This window comes from Homo sapiens, chromosome 16 (genome assembly GCF_000001405.40).
Source record: "Homo sapiens chromosome 16, GRCh38.p14 Primary Assembly".
Taxonomy (NCBI): domain Eukaryota; kingdom Metazoa; phylum Chordata; class Mammalia; order Primates; family Hominidae; genus Homo; species Homo sapiens.
The window spans coordinates 88,695,822-88,716,119 of record NC_000016.10 but is presented as its reverse complement, the minus strand read 5'-3'; the positions used below and the strand labels follow the sequence as shown (position 1 = coordinate 88,716,119).

Sequence of the window (20,298 nt, the reverse complement as noted above, 5' to 3'; positions counted from 1 at the left end):
ATGAGGAGGCCGACTACCTCGGCGTGCGTATCCAGCTGCGGAGGGAGCAGGGTGCGGGGGCCACCGGCTTCCTCGAATGGTGGGTCATCGAGCTGCAGGAGTGCCGGACCGACTGCAACCTGCTGCCCATGGTCATTTTCAGTGACAAGGTCAGCCCACCGAGCCTCGGCTTCCTGGCTGGCTACGGGTGAGTGAGTGGCTGGGGGGGCACCCCGCAGCTCGGGGGGCTCCGGGCGGCCCCAGGACTCACCAGCTTCCCCCGCAGCATCATGGGGCTGTACGTGTCCATCGTGCTGGTCATCGGCAAGTTCGTGCGCGGATTCTTCAGCGAGATCTCGCACTCCATTATGTTCGAGGAGCTGCCGTGCGTGGACCGCATCCTCAAGCTCTGCCAGGACATCTTCCTGGTGCGGGAGACTCGGGAGCTGGAGCTGGAGGAGGAGTTGTACGCCAAGCTCATCTTCCTCTACCGCTCACCGGAGACCATGATCAAGTGGACTCGTGAGAAGGAGTAGGAGCTGCTGCTGGCGCCCGAGAGGGAAGGAGCCGGCCTGCTGGGCAGCGTGGCCACAAGGGGCGGCACTCCTCAGGCCGGGGGAGCCACTGCCCCGTCCAAGGCCGCCAGCTGTGATGCATCCTCCCGGCCTGCCTGAGCCCTGATGCTGCTGTCAGAGAAGGACACTGCGTCCCCACGGCCTGCGTGGCGCTGCCGTCCCCCACGTGTACTGTAGAGTTTTTTTTTTAATTAAAAAATGTTTTATTTATACAAATGGACAATCAGAGGCCAGTCCCCCGTCCTTGCCTTCCGGCTCCAGTGTGGTGTACCAGGTGGCCACTGCCTGCTGTCCCGGCAAGCACGTCCTCACGCTCAGCTCTGGCCCGCCTCGTCGTCACTGTCCTCAATCAGACAGTCCCGGATCTCCTGCAAGCCCCAGGCCCTAGAGAGAAAGCTGCAGTGGGCACCAGCCCCGAGGCCCCTTACCCACGCGCCACGGCAGTGTGGGCCCCAGTACCTCTGTGTGCGGAGCTGGGCCTCAGCCAGGATGTACGGCGGCAGGGGGTCCAGTGAGGGCTGCAACAGAGGCCGGTGTCGAGGGGCCAAGAAACCTGCCAGCACCCCCTCAAGCCACCCACGAGGTGACGGCCTTCCCGCGTCCCCAAGCCCGGCCCAGGACAGGTGGGCACGTACTCACCAAGTCCTTCATGTTCACGCGGCAGCTGTAGCACAGCTGCTCCTCAATGCAGGCTTGGGGGTCCTCCCTGCGGGAGCAGAGCTGGCTGTGTGCCCACCTTGGCACCTCAATGCCGTGCAGTGTGGGGTAAGGACAGGTCCCCCTCCCGCCCCATGCAGCTGGCCATGGGTGGCAGGGACAGGGACTCACCTCCTGCAGGCCCCCTGGCCACAGCGCTGGGCCCAGCCCACCCCTGGAGAACAGCAGGGCCCCGGGGGTGTCCGGGTCTCAGTCAGGGGGATGGGTGACTGCATCTGGGAGAGACGCGAGGAGGTCTGAGCCCCAAAAGCCGTGGCACTGTCTGCAAGCAGAGAGGGGGTGACGGAGCCTGGGGCTGCTGAGCCCCCACACCCACTCCCTGGCTCCCTCCCCGCATCACCCCAAGAGCATGAAACACAGACCAGCGGCGTCGACGTCCAGGGCACACATGCAGAGGAGGCAGCGGGGGCCGGAGTCGCCAGCAGCAGGGCCATCCCGGGGGCCCTTCACCAGCTTCTCACTTGTCCTGTGGCCGGATTGTGGGAGGAGCAGGTGAATCACACGGGCTGGGGCTCCACCCTAAGCCCTGGCCTGAGCACGAGTGGTGAGCTCACCACCCGCACACACCCGCGCACAGCACACACCCGCGCACCCCCCGCACACACCCACACACACCCACACCTGTACACAGTGCTGACAGTGGAGGGGAACTGGGTCTGCAGCCTGAGGATGAAGGCCTCCATCAGCCGGTGGATGCTGGCCTTTTCAGGGGCCTAGGGACAATCAGATTGGAGGCTATGGGAAAGCCCAGAGGCCAGCCCCAGGCTGGGGCAGAGTCCCCAGGACAGGTGCCGTGGGTTCCACGCTGCTGGCCCACATGGGTCTGGCTTTGCTGCGACTGCTCAAGGCAGCCAGAGAACCCGCTTCAGCAGTGCACCCACTGTGGGGTCCTCCTGTCACCCCCACACCCTCACGGCACAGGGTGGGCTCAGAGGATGCAGCACTGCTGGGGGCCACAGCAGGAGTCACTGAAGGTGTGCTGGTGACCTGAGCCTGTGAGAGGCTGCCCAGCCCACATGGCCCACCCCGGTGTCAATGGTGAGAGAGGTTGCCCAGCCCACAAGGCCCACCTTGGTGTCGACGGCTGGTGTGAAGACAGAAGGAACGGAGAACAGGCGGTTGTAGAAAGCGACCTCCTTCAGGGTGTGGTCCCGCATGGGCCGCACCACCACCACGTCCCCGTGCCGCTCATCCGAGAAGCCCTGCGGGAGGCAGGGGCTGTGTGGTCCAGGTCAAGGCCCGAATGTGCTTGCCCCTCCTCCCCTGCCAGGTAGGGGAGGTCACAGACCCCACCACCATCCGAGGCCGCAGGACTGATACGCGAGAGGCTACTCTCCAGTAAAGGTGGCCGAAGGGGTGAAGGTGAGGATGGGCCTCCTGAACACCCAGGCCCCTGCCTACCGTATCCCAGGCCAGGAAGGCCCCTCGACCCAGCGCCAGGTTGGTCATGAGCTTGATAGCCAAGCGTGTGCAGCTGTCCCCAGTCATGACCTTGGAGTAGCCGTGGGCTCGGGCCATGTGGAGGATCAGGTGGGTCCTAAAGCACAGAGCGTCTCAGGGGCCTGGGGGGTGCAGGACCCGGGGAAGGGGGGCTCTCGGGTATGAGTGGGGGTCAGGGCCCGGGGAAGGGGGGCTCTCAGGGGTATGAGTGGGGGTCAGGGCCCGGGGAAGGGGGGCTCTCAGGTATGAGTGGGGGTCAGGGCCCGGGGAAGGGGGGCTCTCAGGGGCATGAGTGGGGGTCAGGGCCCGGGGAAGGGGGCTCTCGGGCATGAGTGGGGGTCAGGGCCCGGGGAAGGGGGGCTCTCAGGGGCATGAGTGGGGGTCAGGGCCCGGGGAAGGGGGGCTCTCAGGGGCATGAGTGGGGGTCAGGGCCCGGGGAAGGGGGCTCTCAGGGGCATGAGTGGGGGTCAGGGCCCGGGGAAGGGGGGCTCTCGGGGCCTCACCGCAGGGTCTGCAGAAGCTCCTCCTTGGCAGTCAGTGTCCTCACTGAGCAGAACAGTTGGGAAAGAGCCTCAGTCTGGGCAGGGGCAGGCGGTCTTGCCAGGTTCTGGGGGTCCAGCGGGGGCTGGGGTGGCTGTTCCTCCCCTTGAGTCGGGCCAGGACCACCCCCGGCCCCCAGCACATGCTGCTGCTGGAGGAAGCTGTCCACGGCCGCCTTGTAGGCCCCCTCGGATCCCACCAGCTCCTGGGCAGAGCACCAAAGCACCGACGGTGGCAGGCTGAACACCTTCCGGGATGAGGGAGACGCCAGTGAGGCCCGGGACACGGGCAGGTGCCCCCCACAGACAGCCCCACCTTCCGGGATGCGGGAGACGGCAGTGAGGCTGGGGCACGGGCAGGTGCCTCCCACCCCCCACCGACAGCCCCGCCTTCTGGGATGAGGGAGAGGCCAGTGAGGCTGGGACACGGGCAGGTGCCCCCCAGGGGTCACCTCCGGGACCCCTTTCCAGGGACAGCCCTCCCACCTCCTCTAAGGCCACCACATGCCATGGGAACCCAGTTGCTTGCAGAATGGGCTTCACTTCGGCCAGGGTCTTTGATCTCTCCTCTAGGCTCTGGCCACAGGCTGCTCCCTCTGAAAAACCCAGGCAGAAAGAGTCAGGGCTCAGAGAGGAGCCAGGCAGGGCAGGCTGCAGGGCCACCTCCACCTGGGAAAACCCTTCGAGGCCTCGCTCCGCAGGGCGGTGCTTCCTGGCGGAGCTGTGGGGTGTCGGCCATTTTCCTTTGGGCAGGGGTTTCTCTCTTGCGGCTGACCTCAGCGCTACAGTCAACACCCCAGGAGTTCGTTCTGCAGGAGCAAGGGTCGGGGAGTCGGCCCCTGGGCCCCCGCTCACCATCAGCACTTAACTTGCCCTTCTTTGTCCCCAGACCCCGTGATGGGGGCTGGGCAGCCGCCACTCCTGCTCCCACCCCCGACTTTCTAAGGATGTTCTTAGATTCCAGGAACAGTGATGCCACCTAACGATGGATACATCTGCTGCCTCCTTCAGGGAGATGTCCCCACCAGGCCCTCAGTGCAGGGGCAGCACCAGTAGCTCAACACATCCTACCAGAGGGAGGACCGGCACCAGAGGGAGGGTCCACACCAGAGGGAGGATCCGCAGGGCTTACCCCAAGTGGCCAGGGACTAGGAGGAGCAATGGCCCCACATACCGTCAACAAAGATGACTCCTGCCACAAAGCGCAGTCTTTTGGCAGAATCTTGGCTCAGGCCCTAGAGGGAGAAGCAGCAGGGACTCAGCCCCCAGCCATAAGCCACAGGACACTTTTCCAGCTCAGAACATTCTTCATCTGGATTTAATGCCATCTTGGAAGGTGAAGTGGTCTTCCCCTGCCATTGCGTTTATTGGACAAAGCCATTCAGACTCAGGTGCCGGGCAGGCCCAGTAGGCGAGGCCGCACGCCCGACTTATTTTAAAGGGTAGCCTGGGGGTCTTCATCCCCCTGGTAAAACATGCCCCTCACCAGCTGGTCCTGGATGTCCCAACAACGCCCCAGGAGAGGGGGCTGGGTTACGGGGCCACTGTGCCACCATCCCACACGCTTCTGACCACTAAGGAAGCACTTGCTCTCACAAGCAGAAACCAACAGCCTGCAAGAGGCAGGGGCGCCGCTGGGCACAGGAAGGGCAGCACCAGCGTTACACAGAGGGCTGGGCCAGTTCCCTCACAACACCCTCCTGGCAGGTTCAGGGGACCTCAGAAAACAGAAAACTAATTTCAGCAGTGTTGTGCCATGCGCCCATCCTGAGACCAACACCCCACTCCTCAACCCGGCAAAGCCGACCCCTCTCCTCTCAACCACCCAGCCCACAGAAACAGCCTCCTCCGGTCTGCACCTCTCATGAGAGTGCAGAGAAACCAAGCACATCCCGCTCCTGTGCCCTCCTGAGAAGCCCGACCTGCCTCAGACTTCCTGAGCTGACCCTTGACAGGCCACGGGCACAGCCCCACCACCCCCAGCCGAGCCCTGTGTGCAGCCTAAGCCCGCCTCCACCTCCCTGCGCGGGCCGCCGCCTCCACCTCAAACGCTGCTCCCTTTGCTTCTCCTGGCAAACCCCCGCCCCTTTCCCAATCTTCCCTCGGGTCACACATGGCTGAGCCAAGATGCAGCTTTCCACTGACTGTGTTTCTACGCAGGTTGAGCAAATGGACAGAAGTCAAGTGGGCCGCACACACGCACTCTGGACCCAGCTTCTGATTGGTGCACCTGCTGTAAACACATCTGAGAGTGGGCCGCACACACGCACTGTGGACCCAGCTTCTGATTTGTGCACCTGCTGTAAACACATCTGAGAGTGGGCCGCACACACGCGCTGTGGACCCAGCTTCTGATTTGTGCACCTGCTGTAAACACATCTGAGAGTGGGCCGCACACACACACTGTGGACTCAGCTCCTGATTGGTGCACCTGTTGTGAACACATCTGAGAACCCCCCAAGTGTCCAGGCCGCAGGGTGGACTGCTCTCTAGCCCCAACCAAGAGCCCCTCAGCAGGCTGAGAAGGGAGGCCCCCAGCCTGAAGCTCAGCCCAGCAGCCCGGGCCCACGGGGTGGTGAACACGCACCTCAAGAACCTGCCAGACCATGGAGCTGGACGAAGGCCCCCCAGACCACGCCAAGAGCACCTGGGGGAGAAAAAACATCACTCAGGGCACCGCACCTCCAACACAGGCAGACACCCCACCTCGTGGACATCTAGGACATCGAGTCTGTCCTCAAAGGCCAAGGAGGAGCTGGCGGGCTGCAGCAGGCCAGGCTGCCTGTGGGAGGGACAAGCAGGGACCTCGAGGGGCCAGGCTGCTCAGTCAGACCCCCAGGACCCAGACGCTACCTTCTCGCCTGGAAAGATGAGCCGGTTCTTGCCCAGCATGGCTCTGAACTTGTGGACGTAGAAGGCCTTGAAACAGTCCCTGCAACACAGACCTGAGATGAGGGAACCGCCTGCTACCCGCACAGTGAGCAGCGTCCTGAGGCGCTGCCAGGTGACGACGTCCTTTGCCAATCTCCATCTTTAAAAGCAGCATCTTCACATCCAGGCTCTGTCCAGAGACTGGTGAAAGGGGCGGGGTTGGCCCCTCTGGCAGTGGCTTCCTCAGGGTGAACACGAGGCTCACCGGCCCCTCCCACGACCAGGTACAAACTGCACAGCCACGGAGGCTGCATCCAGCAAACGAGGGCAGAGCCCCGGCACCCCTCCCCACAGGCGCTCAGAAGGGCCCAGCTGGTGGAGTGGACAGACTTAGGCACGTACAGGGCAAGGCCAACCCAGACCCCATAAAAAAAGACCCACCACATACAGACACCACCTCTTGGAGGTGAAACGTGGAAATGGAGCGGGCCACAGCGAGGACCCACCATGCAGAGACACCACCTCTTTGGGGTGAAGTGCGGAAATGGGGTGGGCCACAGCGAGGGCTCAGTATCCTGGGGCCCCAGAGCTGGCATCTTTAGTGTGCTGGGCTCAACTGGGCCAGGAATGGCTAAGAGGCTCACTCACAGAGTGGCCTGGGCTCCTCCCCTAACCCCACAGAATCAGAACTTCCAGGCCTGGGAACTGCATTTTTAAGAGACAGGGTCTCGATGTGTCACCCAGGTTGGAGTGCAGTGCCACAGTTATAGCTCACTGCAGCCTCAAACTCCTCGATTCATGTGATCCTTCTGCCTCAGCCACCCAGGTAGATAGGACTACAGGTTACAGATATATGCCACCATGCCTAGCTAATTGTTGTATTTTTTGTAGAGACAAGGTCTCACTTTGTTGCCCAGACTGGTCTCAAACTCCTGGCCTTAAGTGACCCTCCTGCCTGGGCCTCCCAGAGTGCTGAGATTCCAGGTATGAGCCACTGCGCCCAGCTGTAATCTTTGTTCATAATAAACTTTCCAGCCATCTGACTCTGGCTCACTACGTCAGGGGTTCTTGGCCCTGGCTGTATGTTAGAATTGCACAAACCAATTAAGTCAAATTGTCTAGGGGTGAGGCCTAGGAGTCTGCATTTTAAAGCTCTCCTGCAATCCTGGCAGGCAGGGTGAAGAGCAGCACCCGGTACAGAGCGGACAATGCCACTGCAAGAGTCACCCTGCACCTGGGGCTCTAAGTCTCTTCCTTCCTGTCAGACACACTTGATGTGCACAGCAGTCCCTCCCTACGTTGAATGGATACCACGTACAAGAGGCCGAATGACCCCCCTGTGGTTCCTTTACAGACAGTAAAGCAAGTCTGTGTTTAACAGCAAGATGCCAGGTGAGGGACTGCAGGTAACTGGCAAGTATCAAGGCTGGGACATGGGAAGTGACCCCCAGGACCCAGCTTTGGGCGTGGGGAGTCTCATACAAGGAGACACAGGTGCTGGGCTTCACCTCCGCACTGTGGACCAGGAGAGCCTCTGCGCCCTACACCACCAGCTGGGATTCAAGCGTGGTGGGTCCACGTGTACATGCTGCGTCTGGGCTCCTGAAACCACGCTGTCCCCTGTGGGTCAGGGAAGGCCAAGGTTTCTCCCACGTGCTGACCTGAATGATCCCTGGGGATCCCAGCTCGATGTAGATTCCTAAGGCCTTCCCCTAGAGAGCCGGCTCCCCACTGTTCCTTGGGACCAGCAAGCACAGCAAAAGCCCTTCTGGCCACAAGGGCCTAGCATACAGCCACAGCAGCCTCTCCTCAGTGAATTCTGCCGGCAGCCTGGTGTTCTTGGCAATTTCAGATGCTCCTGGGTGGTTAAAGAAGTACCTATCTTGGCCAGGTGTGGTGGCTCATGCCTGTAATCCCAGCACTTTGGGAGGCCGAGGCAGGTGGATCACTTGAGGTCAGGAGTTCGAAACCAGCCTGGCCAACATGGTGAAACCCTGTCTCTACTAAAAATACAAAAACAATTGGCCGGGCATGATGGCAGGCACCTGTAATCCCAGCTACTCAGGAGGCTGAGGCAGGAGAATCACTTGAACCCAGGAGGTAAAGGTTGCAGTGAGCTGGGATCATGCACTCCAGCTGTTGCACTCCAGCCTGGGTGACAGAGGGAGACTCCATCTCAAAAAAAACAACAACAACAACAAAAAAACCACGCACCACCACTGGGAATTAAGAGGGCTAAAAGGAGAGAGACCTGGTCCTCCCTTCAGGGAGCTATGAGTCTAGTGGAAACAACTGAACAATACAATGGCTACAAGCCAAGAAAGACATGACAAGCGCCTGGGGGAAAGCTAGAGGTCTTCCAAGCCTCTATCCTGCCACAGATGAAACAAGCATCTCACACGAGATTAAAAACTTTCACCCAGACCATCTGCCAAGTTCCCAAGATGCTCTGATCCGCCCCTAGATGTATTCCAGCTGCCCCCAAACGCCTGGTCCTCCTACAGCTTATCCCAGTCTAGACACCACGGCCCCACTTCCAACTGTCCCCATAAGTTCCATCAGAAACCTCATCAGGGGATCTGTGGCTAGCTCATGGGAAACTTTCCCAAGCAGGAAACCAATGCTTTCGCCTCCACTTCAACACCAGGGGCACGAGGGACCCCATCAGGAGCAGGAATAAAGTAAGTACATGTTTTTAAAAAGAATTAACAAAGCATCACAAGTTGCGGCTATCCTGTCTGCTAGCGAGGCCATGTTTGCCAGGGTCTCAGCCACCTCCAGGCCTCACCTGCAGAAGGCATCTCCGGCTCGTATCACCACAACGGGCTGCGCTTCCTTGCACTTCACACACTTCTGCTCACGGCTTTGGAGATGGGAGGGGGGAGAAGAGAGAAACACAGATCACATCTTCCCCACGCCTAGTGGGCTTTGGGGAGACAGCTCCTGTTTCTCACCCTGAGTTGGGTCAGAGAAAGGCACCTCGGTACACACACAAACCCAGGCTTGTGTTCTGTCCAAACTTCAAGAAAAACAAAGGCTCTGGGGGGATGTTTAGCCTAGAAAAGCCGGCTCAGGGGGCACATAAAGGCCGCTTTTCAGTCTCCCAAGGCTGACACGGGGAGGCGAGACAGCTTCACGGCACCAGTTCTCTCCGAATAAGGACAGCACTGTCAGCGGCAGAGCCGTCCCCAGTGGCTGCTAGGATGAGAGGCGCGAGCCAGTGGAGTAAGTCCCCTTCTAGGTGGCCGTCACCGCTTGACAGGCATTCCCCGAGTGCTAGGGAGCGAGGTCCCGCTCTCCACGCGGGGCTTCCCGGAGCAAGCCCGGCCGGGACCCTTCGGGGCAGGAGTGCGGCGGGAAGGCGAGGGGCGGCCTGGCGGGTCCGGCCGCCAGCTCTTACCTGGGCCGCGGCGCCGGGGGCGGCTCCTCAGGCGCCGGCTCCCCGTAGTCCTCGCCCACCTGACACATGGGCACGCCGGGTCCCGTCGCAGACTGTGGCGGCGACAGCGCGAGGGCGCGCCCCGATGACGTCGGAGTGGCGCCGTGACGGCCGCGAAGCCCGGCTGGGGGCGGCGCCCTACGATGACGTCAGCGCGGCGCAGTAGCGGCTGTGACTAGCGGGCCGGCCCGGGCCAGGACAGCGGGCGGCGGGCGGCGCGGGCCTGGCCCCGGGATGGCTATGTTCCGCAGCCTGGTGGCCTCGGCTCAGCAGCGGCAGCCGCCGGCCGGGCCGGCGGGCGGCGACAGCGGCCTGGAGGCGCAGTACACCTGCCCCATCTGCCTGGAGGTCTATCACCGGCCCGTGGCCATCGGCAGCTGCGGCCACACGTGAGCGCGCCCGCCCAGGGGCCGCGGGGAGGGGGCCGTGCCCCGCCGCGGGAGGGGTCGCGAGGCCGGCGGCCGCCCCGGTGCAGCTCCGGACTGGGCGCGCGGGGACTCGGGGCGCCGGGGCCTCGGGGCGCGTGGGGTCCGGGTTTCCCTGTGCCGCGCCGCCTCTGCCCTCTGGGCGCGTTCATCCCCCGCCCAGCCTCCTTCGCGCCAGCCGCAGGCGCCCGGTCCGACTGCTGCTTCGGTTCACCGGGCGACCTGCGGCCCTGCCCAAGCTCGGGGTCCCCGGCGGCTGCGGCGGGCGCTCCGGTACTCAGAGGGCAGCAGGTGCCACCGCTCCGCCAGTGGTGGTGGATTTGGGCTTGTGCGGCTGGAATGGGCAGTTGTAAATAAATAACTTGTAGTTTTTGCTATCAACTCTTGTTCGGACCCGCTGTCTGCCTGTTTTGACTACAGAGGAAAGGAGTTCCCTAAAGTTTAGAGGGGCTTGTTTGGAGTCTGATGTTCTTAGTTTTGTTTGAAGGAGAACTTGAGTCACACCGATCACTGAGTAGCCAGGCAGGCTGGTCCACAGAGGAGCAGACACTGACCACCTTGCTGGGGTTTCCAGCTGCACCAGGGCTCACAGCCGGCTCCTCCAGGGTGTTTCAGGAACAGAAACTGGAGGACGTGGCTCTCCTGGCGGGGAGCTGTGCTCAAGTATTCTGGAGCTGCCAGCCCCGTTGGGAGGAAGCCTAGATCAGTGTCTGCTCCCTCCTAAGTGCTGAATAATACAGCTCTTGAGCAAAATCAGCAGTGGCAGGGGAGAGAGAGAGCAGGAGGGCTTCCCCGCAGACATCCAAGCTGCTGAGGTGGTGGAGTGGAGGGGGGTGCACCCAGACTGGTAGGAGGCTCTAGAACATTTTGCAAGCAAAGTCAGCTGACTTCAGGGGCTCCTGGTACAGAGGGAGCTGGGACTGCTAGGTGGATGTGTGCTGGTCACCCACGGAGGTGGCAGGGCCAGTGTCAGGATGCAGAGCTGCCTTCATTACCTGTGTCAGGCAGCACAGGCGCCTGCCCACGCTGGGACAGCTCTACCTACTTCTCTTGTGAGGCTGCTACAGGCTCTGCCCCTGCTCCTCCATCTCACTTAGCCGTGACATTTTGGGGGGGCAGCCTCTGAACGGGAATATTTTTTTTTGAGACAGAGTCTTGCTCTTGTCACCCAGCCTGGAGTGCAGTGGCGCCATCTCGGCTCACCGCAACCTCCATCTCCTGGGTTCAAGTGATCCTCCTGCCTCAGCCTCCAGAGTAGCTGGGATTACAGGCACCCGCCACCACGCCCGGCTAATTGCTGTATTTTTAGTAGACAAGGGGTTTCACCATGTTGGCCAGGCTGGTCTCGAACTCCTGACCTCCGGTGACCTGCCCGTCTCAGCCTCCCAAAGTGCTGGGATGACAGGCGTGAGCCACCGCGCCTGGCAGGACTTCCTTCTTGTGAGCAGGTAGCGGGTGTTTGAAGGTGTGTTCCGCACCTTCTCATCTGTTACTGAGCGCTGTGAGGCTTGACTTAGGCCTTGTTTTAGAAAAGCCTCCCGTAGGCTTTGGGTGCCAACACCTTCACCGTGTGGTCGGCCACAGCATCTCCACTTTCCTAACCTGCACAAATTGGTCTTTGCCCTTCTTTTTCAAATATGTCTTTTCCTAAAATGTAGTTTCCATAACACAGAATGCAGAACCACATGGAATTGTGGAGCATCTTTCCTATAAAACTCCCCTCTGCCATGCTTTTCTTGGTAGAATGACGACCATCCTAGTCTCACCGCGGGTCCTGCAAGAGCTTTTCACACAGCCTTTGCCTTTCAAAGATTTTTCTCCCCGACTTTTCCTGCTGGCTTTTGTTTTCTGGCTGTTCTCTCTCTGCTTCTAACTTTGTTTCTTGTTGGTGTTGCTAAGGCATGCATGCAAATGACCACAGAAAGTTTAAAGGCTCTTCAGGTTCCCTTCGGAAGTTTGTTGCTGGTCTGGTTCTGTCCCCTCCGCAAGCTCCCCAACCAGAGCAACTTCCTCCTCCAGGGTAGATCTCTCATGGCAAGAGTATCCCAGTGTGGGGGCATGCACCCTGCTCTAGCCCTCGCGCAGGAGGCCCCCTGGGGGCCCAGCAGGAGCTGTTCTCAGCCAGGGGACAGTCTGAGCAGTGAGCCACCTCTGTAACCAGAAGCCTGTGGGCCAGGACACGCGTGATCACGAACCTGCCTGGAAGGGCTGTGTGAGCAGCCTCCACTCGTGCAGGACAGCTGTGGGGCTTGCTGAGGGTGCTGGCCTGCCAGCCAGGCAGATCCCTGAGGCACGGGCCGTCCCAGCTTCTCAGCTTGTGCAGCGGCCAGTGTGGGAGACACATTGGCAGTCCCGGGTGCCTGCTGGGAGGGCCAGTGCGCGATCGCCCCTCCCTTTGTAAGGCTGTCGACGCCCCCACACCCATCGCCCTCAGCCACTTCCTTCAGCTGAGAAGCTGCTCAGCACCAGCCCCTGGGTGGGCGCAGACAGGAACTTCCTGTGGGGGAAGCGGGCACTACTCCCGGCTGCTGGCTCTCTGAACACCAGGCTGGCAGTCACTGGAAACTAGGCCGATAGAGCACCCACCCTGTGGGTGCCTCGTTCTGCCTCCTGCTCCTCGGGCCCAGCCGCCCTGCCAGTCGGGCTGGGTTCCCTCTTGTGTCTTTCCTGAGTCCTTCCGGGGAGGACGAGGCTGTCTTCCTCCCAGCCAACCTTCTGGGCACCTTTCCTCTCTTCCCAAGCTCTGCCTGGGACCCTTTTCCTTCCCCTCAGCCCGTGGCCGTGCTGTGCAGCCGAGCCCCGGCCTGGTCTCTGGCAGCTCAGGGTTCACTCAGGAGGTGCACCATCCAGTCGTTTCCAGTGTGTTTGCAATTATGCAACAATCGATGCAATTCTAGAAGATTCTTCCCACTCCAGAAAGAAACCCAGGACTCTCCCCCTCGCCTGGCACCCACCCGTCTGCTTTCTGGTCACTGGGTTTCTCTCTGCTGGACGTTGAGCGTGAGTGGACCCCCACGACACGGGTGGGACGTGCTTGCTGTCTGCCCTGCACTGTTTTCCAGGCCTTCCGGTGCGTGGTGGGGCTGCACGCCTCTTCCCGGCCGAACGCCCTTTCCATGGGTGTGCACGCCACGCCGTCTCTTCATCCGTTTACCGACGGGCACCTGAGCTGCTTCCGCTTCTCCTGCCATGAGTGCCTGAGTATGGGGGTCCCCTGAGGCCTCCCCAGGTGGACCATCTTGCCAGCACCTTCCTCCCGTGAACGGGTGAAGTAGGCGGCCCCCCCGGCTCAAATCCAGGGGTCAGTGCCAGGGATGACCCTGGAAATATCTGCTGGGGCGCCTGGTGAGAACTCGGGTGAGGTGGGTAAAGTGAGCGACCTCTTTACTCTGCAGAAAAAGGCTTGTTCACTTTCTGACGGGTCTCAAGCTGAGTCCCGCTTTCTCTCACACGAAGTTTCATGTGGGAGCCACCAGCCAGGTGGTGGCTCTGTGGGAATCCAGTGGTGGCAAAGAGGGCCTGGGGGACAGCAGGAGGGACTTAAGATGCCTGCTTGGCCACCTTTGCCTGAGGCCCTCAGACTTCCTCCTTGCAGAAAGGGCCTTTTCTTGAGGGATGTGGAAATCTCTTGACAGCAAAGAGGACTCTGGCCCTGAATTCAGCTGAGTCGTTTGTGAACCCAGGGCCTGCCCACAGCCCCTCTGTCCAGTGGGGCTCCTGTACCAGCCCTGTGGCCTTGCCAGGGAGAAGGGAAGCTACACCCCCGGGTGCTGTAGCCTTCCTGGGACTGGGGGGCTCTGCCTCAGTTCCAGCTCCTCGCCGCAGCTCAGCTGTCCCCACAGTGCTCCTCACAAGGCCAGATGTGGCTGCCCCAGTATTAAGCTCCTTCTCTGTGTTTGCACTGGGGGCTCTCGCGCCTGGTGCTCCCACTGGCTGGTGGTGCACCCCTCCAAGGGCTGTGTGCGTCTGCAGAGCGGGAGGGTGTGCGAGCCCAAGGAAGCCCCTGCTGCTGGAGCCCGGAGTGCGCACGGGGCTGTGGGACGCTCAGTCTGTCCTCACGATGTGGTGTCCCCAGGGGCAGTGCCAAGAGCCAGGGCCCATGGGTGCCCAGGACCCGAGCCTCCGCCCAGATGGAGCAGGACCCCCTCCTGCCTGCGAAGCTGTCCCAAGCCTGGTGACTGCCACCCAGCCTCAGGATGTGCTGCCACTTGGCTAGCTTTGGCCCTTCCCTGTCCAGTGCATCTGGAGCCCCTGGGGCCTGGCCGTTTCCTTTCCCACGATTGTTTGAGGTTTTATCCCCCAGAGTGTGGAGCCGGGAGAGTTTCCAGAGTCCCCGGGCTGTCCCTGCGCCCCACAGCCCACCCAGGTGTTGTCGCCACGTGAACGTGAACCTGGTAGCCCGAGCTGGGGCCTCCTGCCTATGGGAGCTCCTCTGGCCCACTCGCGGGGACAGCCATAGTGACGGCTCTGCCGCTAGCCAGAAACCACAGGGGCCTACTGTCAGGAGGGACCGGGGCCACCCTTTAGCCAGATGGGGCCCATCCAGCTGGTGGGCCCCGGACATAGGAGTGACCATCTCCAGAGACGGCGACAGCGGTAGGGGGAGCTGCCCCTGTGGACCCCACAAATGCTGGGTCCTAAGAAGGGCCCCGAGCAAGGCCTGCGGTTCGGGAGACCCGAGGGGCGGGCTGGCACTCAGGCCCCTGTGCCCTGCAGGTTCTGCGGGGAGTGTCTCCAGCCCTGCCTGCAGGTGCCATCCCCGCTGTGCCCACTCTGCCGCCTGCCCTTCGACCCCAAGAAGGTGGACAAGGCCACCCACGTGGAGAAGCAGCTCTCATCCTACAAAGCGCCCTGTCGAGGCTGCAACAAAAAGGTACCCGCCTGCTTGGGCCGCCCTGGAGCCGGGGTCACTTGATGGGCAGCCTCAGCCCACGGGTTCTGCAGAGGGTGGGGGCCGGGGCCCTCTCTCTTTCCTGTTGAGTAATCGCGGTCTCTGCTCCTGCACCAGGAAGCCAGCCCCGGCGCCTCCCTCCCCTCCCGTCTTCATCTCTCACTTCCTGTGGTGACGGCTGACGGGGGGGCCAGCCCGGTGGGGGTAGCACTGTCAGAGCCGCCTAGCCCGGGCCAGGGGAACCCACGTGGGTTGTGGCCAGGGTAAGGACCAGGGGGCTGAGCTGAAACCTTCCCAATGCAGCCTTCCCCTGCCAGCCGATACCGGGGACGGCGCTGGGGGCTCCAAGGTCACAAGGGCCGCGGGCACAGTCAAGGACATCTAAGGGCCGAGCACCCTCCAGCTGCCAGGAGGGCCAGAGCCGGGCTGATGGGCACTGCCACACCCACATCAGAGCAGCGTAAGGGCCTGCAGCTTGTCATGGGCCTCATTGGCCCCCATGTCCATCCTGTCCTGGTGCCTGGCCCGTGCCCCGTGGCCCTCCCTGGCACATCCGCTTCAGGGTGGAGAGGCCCCAGCCAGCGCCCCGTTCTTTCAGTGGCTTCCGGAGGACTGAGCAGCTAGAGGTGATTTTGCATTTGCGTTTCCCGACGTTGCCACATCTCAGGTGAATAAGTTCTATGAAGCGCTCACACTAGTACGTGGCCCCTCGGTGGTTTGTCCTCGAGGTCGAAGGTCCAGATGTCCAGGGGCTGCCCTGGACTCCAGAGTGGTGCGGCTGAGCAGGCTGTGGTCTTGGGTGCTTGGGCACCTCCCGTCTCTCCCTGCTCAGAGTTCTTCTCTCCTGGGCAGCCAGAAAGGATCAGAACCGGTCACATGCAGAGCGGCCTCCCGTATCCCACAGCAGCTCCGTTCTCTAATCTGGGTCTTCAGATGCGGCTGTGTCTCCCGGCACCTTGCTGGAATGTGGTGCATCCCTCGGAGTCCAGCAGCCCTTAGGCAGAGCTGGGTGCCGAGCTTGAGTCCAGGAGGGCCTCAGACACCTGCGATCTTGCAGCCTGTTGCCCTGGACAGTGGGTGTGCTGTGGGTGGAGGATGGCGCCCTGCCTCCACGGAAGCATCCCCAGCTTGCCCCTCAGTCACACGAAGCGTCTGTCCCCAGCCTGGGGCATTTCTGAGTGGCCTCCACTTGGCCTCTTCCTTTTTCTGGAGCAAGTATTTGAACTCCTGCAGGCGCCAGAGATCTCCTTACCTGTTTCCCGCTACCCTTCTCCAGCCAGGTTTCTGCCCTCGGCCAGATTGTCCTGCAGTGACTTGCTTTTGGCCATGGAGTAGTGGCTGCTCAGTGCCTGAGATTGTTTTAGCAGCAGAAGGGACCGGGTCCCCCTGCTGCTGGCAACACAGACGCTTGCTTACAGTTCTCTGGTCCTGGACACCTGAGGTCTCGGCCTCCCCAGGACGGCCCTTCCAGATTCTCAGGACCGCCTTGCCCTCCCTGCCCTGTCTCCTAGGTGACCCTGGCAAAGATGAGAGTGCACATTTCGTCCTGCCTGAAGGTCCAGGAGCAGATGGCCAACTGCCCCAAGTTCGTCCCCGTGGTGCCCACATCACAGCCTATCCCCAGGTAGGCACGCTGCCGGGCAAGGGAGAGGAACTGTCCTCGGCGGTTTCCTCGTTCTGGGAGCAAGCGCAGTGCCCCATCCCAGAGAGGCTGGGGGAGTCACCCGGGGCCGGGTCCACTCTGGGGAAGTGGACCTTCCTTGCCACCCTGCAGGAAGGCTCCTGTGCTGCCCTCCCTGGCATACCCACCAGGCCCCCTGGGGTAGGGACAGCTCAGCTGTGGGGAGCAGGAGGAGGGCGCAGGCCGGGCCCACACATCGCCTCCCAGCAGGTGGATGGGCCGAGAGACGGCTCCTGCCAGGGCAGCGCCAGCAGAGTCTCTGCCGTTTGGCTGGCCTAGTTGTGTGGGGTGGACGAGGGTCCTGGGTGTGTCCTCAGGAGGCCATGGCGTGCAGAGGCACGGGGGGCACCCAGCCACTGCCACGCTCTTGCAGCCTACAGAGGGCAGGCCTGGGGCCACGCCTGTGTTTGAGAGAAGCGGGGAGGCAGAGCCCCTAGACACCTAGCCGTGCCACTCACTCTACCCCCGCCCCGCCAGCAACATCCCCAACAGGTCCACCTTCGCCTGCCCGTACTGTGGTGCCCGCAACCTGGACCAGCAGGAGCTGGTGAAGCACTGTGTGGAAAGCCACCGCAGCGACCCCAACCGCGTGGTGAGCAGTGCCTGCCCCAAGCGACGCCTGCGCCAGGGGAGGCCTGTGGGGGACAGTACAAGGCCCAGGAGCCTGCTCGCGGCGAGTCCGGGGGTGCCCAGGCCACAAAGGCCTCCTGGGACCCAGGGTGGGAACTTGGCTGCCCGAGCAGCACCTGGCGGAAACCGGGGAGTGTCCATGAGTCCTTCAGGGTGACGCGCACTGAATAACTCGCTTGTCACCGGGACACGCGCCTCCAGGTCTGGGGTGCCTTCCCAGGCTGAGGCAGCACTGACGGGGCTCAGTGGAGGGCCCCCAGTCCTACTGCGGCTACCCCGCCTCTCCGCGGTCCGGCTCGGCTTGACCCCAGTGCCTGTTCCAGGTGTGCCCCATCTGCTCGGCAATGCCCTGGGGGGACCCCAGCTACAAGAGCGCCAACTTCCTGCAGCACCTGCTTCACCGACACAAGTTCTCCTACGACACCTTTGTGGTAGGCATCCCGCCAGCACCGTCCTCCCCCACGCCCTCCTCATCCACCCTCCTCCTGCTCGGGCCCCTCGCCAGCCTCAGGGTCCGCAGGGTTCAGAGGAAGCCAGAAACAGAAGCCTCGTTTCAGGTGGCCACATTCCCCCAGGTTCTGTGGGGGCTGCCTGCAGGTGGGGAGTGATGGCAGCTGAGTTTGAGTGGCCACTAGAGGGTGCCCAGGCCTCTCGGGGACATGGACCGCACAGGGCAGGTCCCTGCCTGCCCACCCCACAGAACCCCTCGAGGGTGAGCCAGGCTTCCTTCTGGAAGCTTTCTAGAGAGCGCGGGAAGGACTTTCATCAACATCGAACACTCCAGCCCTGTCTCCTTTTCCCACCCGCCGCGGGTCAGGCACACACCTGGCCCCCGGGCCTGCAGACCCTCGCACAAACTCCTCACTCCTGGTGCGGCCCCTCCCTGCGCCGCCCTGTTCATTCCTGGCCCTGGCTAACAGTCCTGGCGATGGCTGTCACTCCCTCTGCCAGTCGTCCGGGACCCACGCTCCGCCTGCCTCAGGATGGAAATTGTTAGAGGTCAGGGAGCCCTGGCCGGCCTGCTCACCTCGGAAACCCCGGGCTTAGAGTCCGACCTGAACCAGCAGCCATCCATTCCGAGTGCCCCCGTACCCAGCGGGTGATGGACACACCTTCACCTTCTCACCCCCCAGAGGACCGTGCAGGCCCCGAGCCTGTGGGGACAGTGGAGCTGGGTCCTTCCTGTGTCCTGCTGGAGGGAGGCAGGAAGGGTGGACACGCCTGTGTGGGTGATGGGCAGAGGGGACCTCTCCTTCCTGTCTCCCTCGAGCCCGGTGCATCTCTCCTTCCTGTCTCCAGGACTACAGTATTGACGAGGAGGCCGCCTTCCAGGCTGCTCTGGCCCTGTCTCTCTCTGAGAACTGAAGGGAAGCGCAGCCACCCGCCTGCGTCTGGGGTCAGGGATGTCCCCGCTCCTGTGTCGCACCTGGCACCTGCTCGGGAGCGCACCTCACCGGACTGAGCTCACAGGAGGAGCCTGCACCCGCGCAGAAGGGGAGCCGGGGCCGAGCCTCCGGGCCTGAATACGGGCCAGCCGCCGAGGCCGCCAGAGCAGGGCCGCCTGGTCCCACCGGCGTCGCTGGGTTCTTCGGTGCTTCTGGCCGAGCAGGCGGCCTACTTGGGCAGGGCTGGACGCTGGGACCTGGAGCTGCCGCCGTCTCTTCAAAGCCATGATACCCCCTCGTGGGAAGAAGGGACCGACGCGCGAGTCGCGCTCCGCAGTCGAGCCGGGAGGAACCCAGGCTGCTGCCCTGCCCAGCCCGACCCTGCCCCGGCCCCACTTCCACCTTGCGCATTTGGTACTGGCTTTTGTGATACTTAGGAACCCTGGCATCTTTTCTATATTATCCAGTGTGATAATCTTTTCACGTTTTATAGAGCAAAGACAGAGCAGTTACTCTTCATATTGCAATATCTGTGTTTGACTAGGAATAATAGTATTTTTATGGAACATTTACAAAATTATATTTTTTAAGAAAACAATCAAAACAAGCATTGGGGGATTGGGGCAAGGATGGAAGGAGCAGTGGGGCAGCTGCCAGAGCTCAGGCGAGCCATGGGGTCTGCTGTGGGGTCTGCCCTGGCCACCCACTGTGTGTCTGGGTCCTTGAGGTTTGTACGTTTCTCTTTGATGACCAGGAAGAAATCCCAGCACCCCAGCCACAGGCTGTGGCTGCTCCCAGCAGAGGCGGGGCCGGCAGAGAAGGGGCCTCCTCCACCCAGAGTCCTGGCCTTGGCCCGCTGTCACCTTCAAAGCTGACTGTGCCCCGCTGCGGGAGGGGACGGCACCCCAGTGGTGGCAGAGCTTGGGGGCCTGGGCAGGGGCCCGCTTGGCGGGCCGGGCAACACGTCAACATTCTTTTCTGTTCTTGGCATTAATTATTGCTGTCTTTTTTTTAAAAAAAAAAGTTTAAATAAAATGTCTCAGAGCATCTCTAGCAGCCTCGACTGGCTTTTGTGCTCCACGGTGTGGAATCGCCAGCTGCTGTCTGTGTTGGAGGTCGGCTGTGTCCTCCCCAGGCAGCTCACGCTGGGGGTACAGCCTGGGCCTGAGCCTCACTCAGCCACGGAGGGTCCCACAGAGCCACCTACACATTGGCACTGGGCCCTCCTGCCTCAGAGAGGACCACCCTGTTCCCACACCCACAGGGCTGCTGGGGTTCGGACTCCTAGGCTGCTTGCTTTTTCTTAGAGGTGGGGTGTCACTCTGCTGCCCAGGCTGGAGTGCAGTGGTGCAATCAGCTCACCACAGCCTCGATCTCCTGGGCTCAAGTGGTCCACTCGCCTTGACCTCCCGTGTCACTGGGACTACAGGTGTGCGCCACCTCAGCACCTCCTGGATTGGTTTCTGAGCATACTGAGTGTTACACTAACTGCCTGTAGTTCTCTGAGGGGCCACCACCAGGGCCATGGGATGTCCTGTTCTCCAGTGTCCAAGGGCCTCAGGCCAACAAGAATCACCTGTTCGCCAGCCAACCCCAGGGCAGCTGGTCATTATAGCTCAGTCACTGCCTCCTGCCTCCTCCCTCCCGCACTCAGTTAAGGAGTGTTTCCAGCCTCTGTTCTGGATTCCTTACTCGCAGGGGAGGTGGCTGTCCTGACCCTGAAGGC

At 61.9% G+C, this 20,298-nt stretch overlaps 3 protein-coding genes across 15 annotated transcripts in view, besides 7 other annotated features; 2 read left to right on the top strand and 1 right to left on the bottom strand.

Moving 5' to 3' along the window:
- PIEZO1 (piezo type mechanosensitive ion channel component 1 (Er blood group)) overlaps positions 1–782 on the top strand; it is a 69,883-nt gene extending 69,101 nt beyond the window's left edge. Inside the window, exons 50-51 of the mRNA NM_001142864.4 lie at positions 1–187; positions 266–782. Of these exons, the coding sequence (NP_001136336.2) occupies positions 1–187; positions 266–515 (437 nt within the window). The 3' untranslated portion in view covers positions 516–782. The remainder of the gene's footprint in view (positions 188–265) is intronic.
- On the bottom strand, positions 724–9,617 carry CTU2 (cytosolic thiouridylase subunit 2). Of its 4 annotated transcripts, none has more exons than NM_001318507.2 (15): positions 9,522–9,617; positions 8,910–8,984; positions 6,104–6,182; positions 5,838–5,897; positions 4,425–4,485; positions 3,737–4,059; positions 3,215–3,498; positions 2,673–2,808; positions 2,342–2,473; positions 1,893–1,984; positions 1,634–1,737; positions 1,383–1,533; positions 1,194–1,260; positions 1,014–1,072; positions 724–938 (listed from the first exon to the last, which is right to left on the bottom strand). In NM_001318507.2, the coding sequence occupies exons 1-15, from the start codon at positions 9,587–9,589 to the stop codon at positions 869–871; spliced, it is 1,761 nt and encodes a 586-aa protein (NP_001305436.1). In that variant the 5' UTR covers positions 9,590–9,617; the 3' UTR covers positions 724–868. The 4 variants fall into 4 exon arrangements, with proteins under 4 accessions (NP_001305436.1, NP_001012777.1, NP_001012780.1 ...); NM_001012759.3 differs by having other exon boundaries at positions 3,737–3,846; NM_001012762.3 differs by lacking the exon at positions 1,014–1,072 and having other exon boundaries at positions 3,737–3,846.
- Positions 9,349–9,658: a silencer, noted in NCBI's record as "silent region_7871". NCBI's record gives its function as "represses an Ori minimal core promoter by ATAC-STARR-seq in GM12878 lymphoblastoid cells {active_cell/tissue: GM12878}" and the evidence as "EXISTENCE:reporter gene assay evidence [ECO:0000049][PMID:35858748]".
- Positions 9,349–10,237: a biological region, named in NCBI's record as "H3K27ac hESC enhancer GRCh37_chr16:88772291-88772928".
- Positions 9,600–10,237: an enhancer, noted in NCBI's record as "H3K27ac hESC enhancer chr16:88772291-88772928 (GRCh37/hg19 assembly coordinates)". NCBI's record gives its function as "activates a minimal SCP1, AML or CMV promoter by ChIP-STARR-seq in naive H9 embryonic stem cells {active_cell/tissue: H9 hESC(naive)}" and the evidence as "EXISTENCE:reporter gene assay evidence [ECO:0000049][PMID:30033119]".
- Positions 9,699–9,978: a silencer, noted in NCBI's record as "silent region_7870". NCBI's record gives its function as "represses an Ori minimal core promoter by ATAC-STARR-seq in GM12878 lymphoblastoid cells {active_cell/tissue: GM12878}" and the evidence as "EXISTENCE:reporter gene assay evidence [ECO:0000049][PMID:35858748]".
- RNF166 (ring finger protein 166) lies at positions 9,712–19,619 on the top strand. Of its 10 annotated transcripts, XM_011522845.3 has the most exons (8): positions 9,712–9,949; positions 14,702–14,858; positions 15,180–15,336; positions 16,388–16,500; positions 17,035–17,149; positions 17,511–17,618; positions 18,005–18,186; positions 18,487–19,619. In XM_011522845.3, exons 1-8 carry the CDS (start codon positions 9,795–9,797, stop codon positions 18,550–18,552), a joined length of 1,053 nt encoding a protein of 350 aa, XP_011521147.1. In that variant the 5' UTR covers positions 9,712–9,794; the 3' UTR covers positions 18,553–19,619. The 10 variants fall into 10 exon arrangements, with proteins under 10 accessions (XP_011521147.1, XP_047289534.1, NP_849163.1 ...); XM_047433578.1 differs by lacking the exon at positions 18,005–18,186; NM_178841.4 differs by lacking the exons at positions 15,180–15,336; positions 18,005–18,186.
- Positions 14,433–14,492: an enhancer, noted in NCBI's record as "active region_11368". NCBI's record gives its function as "activates an Ori minimal core promoter by ATAC-STARR-seq in GM12878 lymphoblastoid cells {active_cell/tissue: GM12878}" and the evidence as "EXISTENCE:reporter gene assay evidence [ECO:0000049][PMID:35858748]".
- Positions 14,513–14,572: an enhancer, noted in NCBI's record as "active region_11367". NCBI's record gives its function as "activates an Ori minimal core promoter by ATAC-STARR-seq in GM12878 lymphoblastoid cells {active_cell/tissue: GM12878}" and the evidence as "EXISTENCE:reporter gene assay evidence [ECO:0000049][PMID:35858748]".
- Positions 15,523–15,602: an enhancer, noted in NCBI's record as "active region_11366". NCBI's record gives its function as "activates an Ori minimal core promoter by ATAC-STARR-seq in GM12878 lymphoblastoid cells {active_cell/tissue: GM12878}" and the evidence as "EXISTENCE:reporter gene assay evidence [ECO:0000049][PMID:35858748]".
- Positions 19,620–20,298: the final 679 nt, after the last annotated feature.

Coding starts and splice junctions, on each gene's coding strand:
- CTU2 (NM_001318507.2), bottom strand. CDS start 9,589: ATGTGTCAGGTGGGCGAGGACTACGGGGAGCCGGCGCCTGAGGAGCCG. Junction 6,183..8,909: donor GCCGGAGATGCCTTCTGCAG/GTGAGGCCTGGA, acceptor TCTGTGTTGCAG/GGACTGTTTCAAGGCCTTCT. Junction 1,261..1,382: donor GGCCAGGGGGCCTGCAGGAG/GTGAGTCCCTGT, acceptor CTGCTCCCGCAG/GGAGGACCCCCAAGCCTGCA.
- RNF166 (XM_011522845.3), top strand. CDS start 9,795: ATGGCTATGTTCCGCAGCCTGGTGGCCTCGGCTCAGCAGCGGCAGCCG. Junction 16,501..17,034: donor ACATCACAGCCTATCCCCAG/GTAGGCACGCTG, acceptor CCGCCCCGCCAG/CAACATCCCCAACAGGTCCA. Junction 17,150..17,510: donor GCAGCGACCCCAACCGCGTG/GTGAGCAGTGCC, acceptor TGCCTGTTCCAG/GTGTGCCCCATCTGCTCGGC.